At 34.7% G+C, this 9,246-nt stretch overlaps 2 annotated features.

Annotated features, from left to right (window-relative positions):
• Positions 5,768-5,937: an enhancer, noted in NCBI's record as "experimental_65044 CRE fragment used in MPRA reporter constructs". NCBI's record gives its function as "activates a minimal promoter by MPRAs in K562 erythroleukemia cells, with activity observed for the introgressed 3:145553504 or rs78142179 variant allele {active_cell/tissue: K562}" and the evidence as "EXISTENCE:reporter gene assay evidence [ECO:0000049][PMID:34662402]".
• Position 5,852: a transcriptional cis regulatory region, noted in NCBI's record as "Neanderthal adaptively introgressed variant 3:145553504 (GRCh37/hg19 assembly coordinates) or rs78142179 in the experimental_65044 CRE". NCBI's record gives its function as "modulates activity of the experimental_65044 enhancer by MPRAs in K562 erythroleukemia cells {active_cell/tissue: K562}" and the evidence as "EXISTENCE:reporter gene assay evidence [ECO:0000049][PMID:34662402]".

The raw sequence follows: 9,246 nt of genomic DNA, 5'->3' as shown, positions 1-9,246 counted from the left end.
AGAGAAGGATGGTTAAAAAATATTTGTCTAATTTTTTCGTATTTAAACTCATGCTCCTACAAGAATTTAATATATACTTTAGCTTCATACTTTACATTATGTTGGACGCATTAAATATTTCAGTAAATGACATCCGAAAATAATGATTTTTAACTATAAACATTGTTATACAGGGTATAACTAATATACGTAACTAATTAAATATAAAAAACTTGTTTTTTTGTCAAGCAAAAGTGAAAAAACCTTAATAAAAATGAAAATGATATTTCAGTTTTTGTTTCCAGTTCCACTGTAATTTAGAGGGGTCATTAATATGATTATATTTTTATGTCCTCATCTAAAAATAATTTCTTACTATCTTTGTCTCCTATTCCATTTTTTATGAAAAAACAAACAAAGTAATACTTCCCAAAAAAGAAATACTAATACCTATGATGGTCACTATTATGATACATCAGTATTAATCATAACTCTTCTAATGAGTCTCAGTTGTTTCTGGACTTCTTTTATGTGTTAGAACCCAAAGAACTAAAATAAACTCAACAAACATGTATCAATATTTTGAGGAATGAAGGCAAAAACACAAAATGTGCCTCGGAAGCTGAGAGATCATTGCCTTCAAAGAACTCCCAAAATATACACAACTAACTCAGACACAGAGAAGAATAGGCTGGTGATATGGTTTGGCTCTGTGTCCCCACCCAAATCTCATCTTCAATTGTAATCGCCACGTGTCAGGGGAGGGACCTGGTGGGAGGTGATTGGATCATAGGGGCAGTTTCCCCCATGCTGTTCTCATGATAGTGAGTAACTTCTCACAAGATCTGATGGTTTAAAGGTGGCACTTCCCCCTTGGCTTTCTCTCTCCTGCTACCTTATGAAGAAAGTACTTGCTTCTCTTTCACCTTCTGCCATGATTGTACATTTCCTGAGGTCTCCTCAGTTATGCAGAACTGTGAGTCAATTAAACCTCTTTTCTTCATAAATTACCTGGTATCAGGTAGTTCTGTAAAACAGTGTGAAAATCGACTATTACAGCTAGGTTCTAGAATGGAGGGAATTTAGTAAACTTCAGGACAATAGAGATTAAAGCTCATGGGGACCATCTGAGAAAGGTTTATGCAAAATCATAAACTCATAGGTTAGCAGGAGCTTAGAAATTGTCTAGTCCAACATTTTCATTTGAAAGGTAATGAAATAAACTGAACTGTTAAACAACTTGCTAAATATGCACTGCTAGTTTACTGACAAAGCTGGAAAAACATTCCAAGATTTTGACTGCCTGATAACTTAAGCAAGGCCTTTAATGATGGGTAGAATTTTCCAGATGAATTGAGAAGGTGATGTTAAGTTTTGAAAAGTTCAAGATAAAGCTATGGAGGTGAAAACACAGAAGAAATCAGAGAAAAGTGGGTGGAAAAAGTTTCAGTCATGACATATTGTCTTCTCTGGTTAAAACTCACTGTCAGATGCCAGATACTGTGGACTGAATTGTGTTCCCCCAAAGTTCATATGTTAAACCTACTTCCAAAAACCCCTGATGTTTCTGGAAGTAGGTGCTTTAGTGAGGACCTCATCACTGTCACGTGAAGTTACAAGAAGATATCCATCTGCAAACCAGGAAGAGAACTCTCACCAGAGACCAAATAATCTGGCACCTTAATCTTGGACTTCACTGTGGGAGATAAATTTTTGTTGTTTAAGCCATATAGTCTATGGTGTTTGTTAAGGGAACCCAAGCTGACTAAGTAACCAGGTGATCATCGGAAAGGAGGGATACATTTATTTTTATTTATTTATTTAGAGACGGAGTCTTGTTCTGTCATGCAGGCTAGGGTGCAGTAGCAAGATCTTGGCTCAGTGCAACCTAGGCCTCCCAGGCTCAAGCGATTCTCATGCCTCAGCCACCCAGGTAGCTGGGATTACAGGAATGTGCCACTGCCCAGATAATTTTTGTATTTTTTAGTAGAGGTGGAGTTTCATCATGTTGCCCAGGCTGGCCTTGGACTCCCAGCCTCAAGTGATCTGCCTGCCTCAGTCTCCTAAAGTGCTGGGATTACAGGTGAGAGCCACCAGCCACCATCCCTAACTAGGAAGGATACATTTAAACATATCATGGATATGCATGTATGAGGACTTTGTGTAACATACAAAGTGGTTTAGATGCAATTTCTTTAAATATTAATAGTAATAAATAATTTTTTAGTAGATGAATAATCCAAAAAGTCAGAAGGTAGAAGATGTTCCATCATCAGAGTCAGATTCAGCAAAGAGAACAATTGTGACATTATTTGTTTTCCAAATGGGAGTTAACATGGGCTTGAACTAGGACTGAGACAGTGAGGGTAAAGAAAATGTGTATATGAAACTTTGGTTGACAGAAGTCCTCAGAGCTTAGTTACCTTTAGACATAAGACTCCAAAAAAATACAATAAACATGATTAAAATTATGGTGCTGACATCAATCAGGTAGGGAATACAAAGGTTGGAGCTGGTTTTGCTTTGTTGCATTTCATTAATCTAAAGTCATCGAAATAAATTAAAACTAAAAAGATAGATTTAAAAATTTGGTTTATAAGTTTTAATTTTTAAAAATCAAAACACTGTAATAAAATTAAACACTGTAATCAATTAAAACATTTTAACATTTAACACTGTTAGAGAAAAAGATAGCATAAATATGTAGGAGAACACTAAAGATTATGGGATTGAAATCATACTGTTCAAAATGTCGACATAAAGCCTAATATTATATCATAATGTGTTTAGAATGTAATAAATAAGGCAAAATAAATATTTTCATTAATAAATAATTTCAATTTTGCATTAGAATGTGTAGTAGGGAGTCCAAAATTGTCATATATGTCATGAGCGAACCTGGAAAATGAAGGTGGAGAAAAATAAGTTCAATACATCCCTTTATAACAATGTAAAATAATGTATGTGAATACATAGACATAATGGACTGATATCTATTTCAACTCTCAAATTGTTTAATTCCATTAAAATCCCATCACATGTATTTAGTACAATAAGTAGGACTAATATTTTGATCGTAAGTAAAATACATTGATAGGGAGCTCAGGGTACAATGTTATTGGATATGATTATGAAGTTATCTTTATGTTTTTCAGTAATCCCAAACATGGGAGTTTATTGGAGGGAGAATTTACATGAATAAAATGCTAGAATTGTTGATTACTGCAGAAAGTAAATCTATTTCAAGATATCACAGAAACTGAGATCTGAGCAAATAAGAAACGAATTATATCAAACTGTGCTTTTCATACTGCTAACCACAAAAAACAATTTCTTTTTAACTTTAAATTTCAATTTTATATTCCTATACATGAAATCTAAAAAAAACAGAAAAAACACTATACAAATGTCCAACTGCATTTAATATTTATCTATTTATTAATTTATTTATTGAGACAGGGCCTCACTCTGTAGCTTAGGCTAGAGCACAGTAGCAAGATCCAGGCTCACTGTGGCCTCAGCTTCCAAAGCTCAAGTGATTCTTCCATCTCAGCCCCTGGAGTAGCTGGGACCACAGGTGTGCACCACCACGCCCAGGAAATTTTTGTATTCATTTATTTATTTATTTATTTATTTATTTATTTATTTATTTATTTTTGTAGAGACAGGGTTTTGCCACGCTGCCCAGGCTGGTTTCAAACTCCTGGCCTCAAGTGATCTTCTCACATTGACTACCAAAGTGCTGGGATTACAGGCATGAGACACCGCACCCAGCCATTGAGTAAAATGCTAGAATTGTTGATAACTACAGAAAGTAAATCTATTTCAAGGTGTCACAGAAAGTGAGACATGAACAAATGAAATAAGAAACAAATTCTATCAAACTGCACTTCTCATACTACTAGCCACAACACATTTTTTAATTTTAAATTTCAGTTTTATATTCCTATACATAAAATCTAAACAAATAGAAAAATCACAACACAAATATCCAACTGTGTTTGAGATTTATTTGTACATCTTAAATAAAATCAAATGTTCTTTATTTAACATAGATTTCCTGGCACACTAATATTTTTGTTGTTTATCCTTTTTTCTACTGATTATCTTGTGGAAACATCAAAGTTAAAAATTGAACCTCTTTTGTTGTTGTCCTTTGATTTCAGCTTTTGTCTACATTTAATAAAAAGTCTGTATATGGTATTTTTTCTCTCTTGCTTTCTATCTATGAGTGTTTTTAAAATCCATTTTCCTTAAATACCAGTTCTTTAAAATTAACATTTTCAATTGCCATGTTATTTGAACTTAATTTTTATTTCTTTGTCCAAAATCATCAGGGACATTGAGTATGAATATGAGGTAGAGGAGCAAGCTCCCAAAGATATGATCAAATTGATTTTTAGTTTTATAAAAAGTTGAATCTCAATGCTACAAATATTCACTTTCCAGGAAGAAAAACACTTATGTTTGTTATTGGTAAGATAAGACAGCATTCGCACTTGTTCCTAATTTCAATTTTAACTTTTATTTGGAACTACATTTGTAGAAATTTTTTGATGAATCAGATATCTTTCATTTGTCATTTTATTTTAAAGTCAAATTTATTGGAGCATAATTTTAAGGAAAGATTTATGCCTTTTGATTATGTAGCTCAATGAGTTTTGACAAATATCTAGAATGGAATAATACTGGCTATTACATTCAAAGTATAGAATAGTTATATCCCATCAAAATCCTCTCTTTGGCTGGGGACGGTGGCTCAGGCCTGTAATCCCAGAACTTTGGAGGCTGAGGCGGATTGTTTGAGACCAGGAATTCAAGACCAGCCTGGGCAATGTGGTGAAACCCTGTCTATATCAAAAATACAAAAAATTAGCCAGGCGTGGTGGTGCATACCTGTAGTCCCAGTTACTCGGGAGGCTGAGGTGGGAGGATCACATGAGCCTGGGAGGCAGAGGTTGCAGTGAACTGAGATCATGCCATTGCATTCCAGTATGAGTGACAGAGTCTCCCAGACTGTGTCTCAAAAAAAAAAAAATTATCTCCTTCTCTGATCTCTGTATCAGTGATTTTTGCCTTTTCCAGAATATCTTATATATGAAATCATTCTGAATGTAGGCTTTTCTTTCCTGTTAATTTCATTCAGTATAATGCCTTTAAAATTGTTGTTTTTCCATGTATCAGTGGTTGGTTGATTTTTACTTCTCAATAGTATTTTATTCTATGGACATACTACAACATATTTATCCATTTACTAGGTGAAGGATATTAAGGATTGTTCCAGTTTATATATATATGTGTATATATATATATATGCTAAAGTATTTATTTGCAGGTCATTGTGTTGACATATGTTTTTAATTTCCTTGGTAACAGTAGGATTTCTGGGTCATACAATAAGTTCATGTTCAATATTATAAGACATTGCAAATTGTTTTCCAAAATGGTCATGCCATTTACATTTTCAAAAACTATGTATAAATGCTCTAGTTGCTCCAAATTTTTATCAGCACTTGGTTTTGTCAGATTTTTAATTTTAGCCATTCATTTAGGTGTAAAAATGCACATCAATGTGATTTTAATTTTTATTTATCTAGTGACTAATCATGCTGAGCACCTTTTAATGTTCTTGTTGCAATCCATATTGGCCATCCATATGTATTCTTTTGTGAGGTGTCTGTTCAAATTTTTGCCAATTCTTGGATTGTTTCTCTTCTTAAAATGGAATTTTAAAATTGCTCACATATATTTAGGTATTTTATCAGATATGCTTTTAGAAGAATTTTCTCCTAGTCTGTGATTTGTCTTTTCATTTTCTTGTCAATGTATTTTGTACATTATATTAGTTAGCATTCTCCAGTGCCAACAGAATGTCTATGTATCAATATCTATATCTCTATATCTATCTGTGTATACATAGAAAGAGATTTGTTTTATAGAATTGGCACTATTTATTTTATAGAATTGTGGCTGTGGGGGCTGGGAAGTCTAACATGCATAGGGCAAGCTGGAAGCTGCATATTCAAGAGATATTTGCACTCCCACATTTACTGCTGCACTATTCACAATGACACAATAGCCCACAGGTGACAATAACCTAAATTTCCACCAATGGATGAATAGATTAAAAAAATGTGGTACATACATATAATGGACTATTATTCAGCCATTAAAATGTAGTTTCTGTCATTTGCTATAACATAAGTGATCCGGGGAGACATTATGTTGAGTAAAATTAGCCAGTCACAGAAGGAAATATACTACTTGATTTATCTTATATGAGATATCTAAAATAGTCAAACTCATCCTCATTGAAGCAGAAAATGGACTAGAGGTTACCAGTGGCTAAGGTAGGGGGAAATGAGGGGTTGCTATTCAATGGGTATAGATTGTGTCAGGCAAGATGGAAAAGTTCTAGAGATCTGCTGTGCTACGTTGTGCTTACAGTTAAAAATACTGTGCTGTTCACTTAAAAATTTAATAGAGTAGATCTTACATGTTTTTTGCCACAATAAAAAAAAAGTTGATGTTGTGGTCTTGAGTTCAAAGGCTGGAAACTCCGGCATAATTTCTTTTTTTTTTTAAATTATACTTTAAGTTTTAGGGTACATGTGCACAACGTGCAGGTTTGTTACATATGTATACATGTGCCATGTTGGTGTGCTGCACCAATTAACTCGTCATTTAACATTAGGTATATCTCCTAATGCTATCCCTCCCCACTCCCCCCACCTCACAACATGCCCCAGTGTGTGATGTTCCCCTTCCTGTGTCCATGTGTTGTCACTGTGCAATTCCCACCTATGAGTGAGAACATGTGGTGTTTGGTTTTTTGTCCTTGTGATAGTTTGCTGAGAATGATGGTTTCCAGCTTCATCCATGTCCCTACAAAGAACATGAACTCATCATTTTTATGGCTGCATAGTATTCCATGGTGTATATGTGCCATGTTTTCTTAATCCAGTCTATCACTGTTGGACATTTGGTTTGCTTCCAAGTCTTTGCTATTGTGAATAATGCCGCAGTAAACATACGTGTGCATGTGTCTTTATAGCAGCATGATTTATAATCCTTTGGGTATATACCCAGTAATGGGATGGCTGGGTCAAGTGGTATTTCTAGTTCTGGATCCCTGAGGAATTGCCTCACTGACTTCCACAATGGTTAAACTAGTTTACAGTCCCACCAACAGTGTAAACACTTCTCAAAAGAAGACATTTATGCAGCCAAAAGACACATGAAAAAATGCTCATCATCACTGGCCACCACAGAAATGCAAATCAAAACCACAATGAGATACCATCTCACACCAGTTAGAATGGTGAACATTAAAAAGTCAGGAAACAACAAGTGCTGGAGAGGATATGGAGAAATAGGAACACTTTTACACTGTTGGTGAAACTCAGGCATAATTTCTATGTTGCAGTCTGGAGACAGAACTCCAGCTTTGGGAAACTACAGCCTTTGTTCTTAAGGCTTTCAACTGACTCTTTGAGGCTGACCCTCATGATGAAGGTGATACAGTTTGGCTCTGTGTCCCTACCCAAATCTCATCTCAAATTTTAGTCCCCACCTGTCGAAGGAGGGACCTGTAATCCCCACGTGTTGAGGGAGGGAGGTGATTGAATCATGGAGGCAATTTCCCCCATGATGTTCTCATGAGAGTGAGAGAGTTTTCATGAGATCTGATGGCTTTGTAAGTGTTTGGAAGTTCTTCCTTCATTCTTGTTCTCTGTCCTGCCACCCTATCAACAAGGTTCCTGCTTCACCCTCTGACATGATTGTAAGTTTCCTGAGGCCTCCCCAGCCATGCAGAACTGTGAGTCAGTTAAACTTTTTTCCTTTAAAAATTACCCAGTCCTGGGTATTTCTTTATAACAGTGTGAAAATGGACTGCTACAGAAGAGTAATCTTCTTTACTTAAAGCCCACGGATTGTAAATGTTAATCACGTCTAAAACGCATCTTTATAGAAACATTGAGACTCGTGTTTGACCAAACAACTAACCGTATTCACCATATACTAAGCAAATTAACACAGAAAAATTAAAGATCACATGTACTAAGTAATCTTTGTCTAACTCAAGGTTTACAGAGACTTTTCTCCTATATATTTTATTTAAAATTGCATAGTTTTGGTTTTTATGTTTAGGCTTATGATTTATTTTGAGTTAATTTTTACATGTGGCGTGAGGAAAAGGTGGGGCTTCATTTTGTAGGGGATCATGGGAAAACAATATGCATGTCCAAATGTTCCTGACACATTTGTTGAAAAGACTGTAATTTTTCCATTAAATTACCTTGCACCATTATCACATATCAATTGACAATTTATGTGTGGTTTTATTTCTGACTGTCAATTCTGTTCCACTGATATTTATTACACCCATTCTTATGCTAATTCCACATCTTGATTACTGTAACTTGGAAATAAAGTATAACTTCAATCGTTTTTTCTTATTTTTAAAATTGTTTTGGCTCTTCTAGGTCTATCAGTTTTGAGAAAACATAGAGGAATACTCTCTGTTCTACCTTTTTGCTCTTCCCACTCCTCATCTATTACCACCTATTTTTTCTTCTGGTCTCATATGTATTTGAGTACTGAAGGTGTTTCTCACAGTATTATAAGATAGAAATTGATACTCAAGCTGCAACTTTGGAAGGAGGGGTGCTTGAAGTTTGATCCAGTAAATTAGATATAATCTTGATAAATAAAATAGAAACCAGAAGTCTAGTTTAGTTTTTAAGATGTAAATTCATAATAATATAAATAATGTCCATAATAAGATTCAGATGCAACAATCCACATATCTACACAAATTCTTAACTGAAATGGTGTCATTGTTAAATTTTGTGTTATCAAACTATGGCCTCTGGAAAGTTTAATTTATTTCCATAAGTCACCTTTATCCTACCAAGAACAGTTTACTGTTTACTTGCAGAAATGTATTTGTATTTATAGAAAGAATTTAATACCCCTGTTATGTATAAACCAACTTAACTGTTACTTCTAAATTCTATTTTACTAATAAAAATTGAGAAGAGCTTTCTTTTTAGAAACAAAGTTGAACATATATGTTGCTATGGTTTGGATATTTGGTCTATTTGGTCTCCACAAACCTCATTTTGAAAACTGATCCCCAATGTTGGAGGTGGGGCCTAATGGAAGGTATTTGTATCATGGGGGTGGAACCCTCTTGAAAAACATAACACCCTTCCTGAATGGGGTGGGGAGTGAGTGAGTTCTTGCCCTATCAATTCCTGAAGG

The sequence above is a fragment of the Homo sapiens genome, chromosome 3, assembly GCF_000001405.40.
Source record: "Homo sapiens chromosome 3, GRCh38.p14 Primary Assembly".
Lineage (NCBI taxonomy): Eukaryota > Metazoa > Chordata > Mammalia > Primates > Hominidae > Homo > Homo sapiens.
This window is presented reverse-complemented; position numbering and strand designations above follow the sequence as displayed.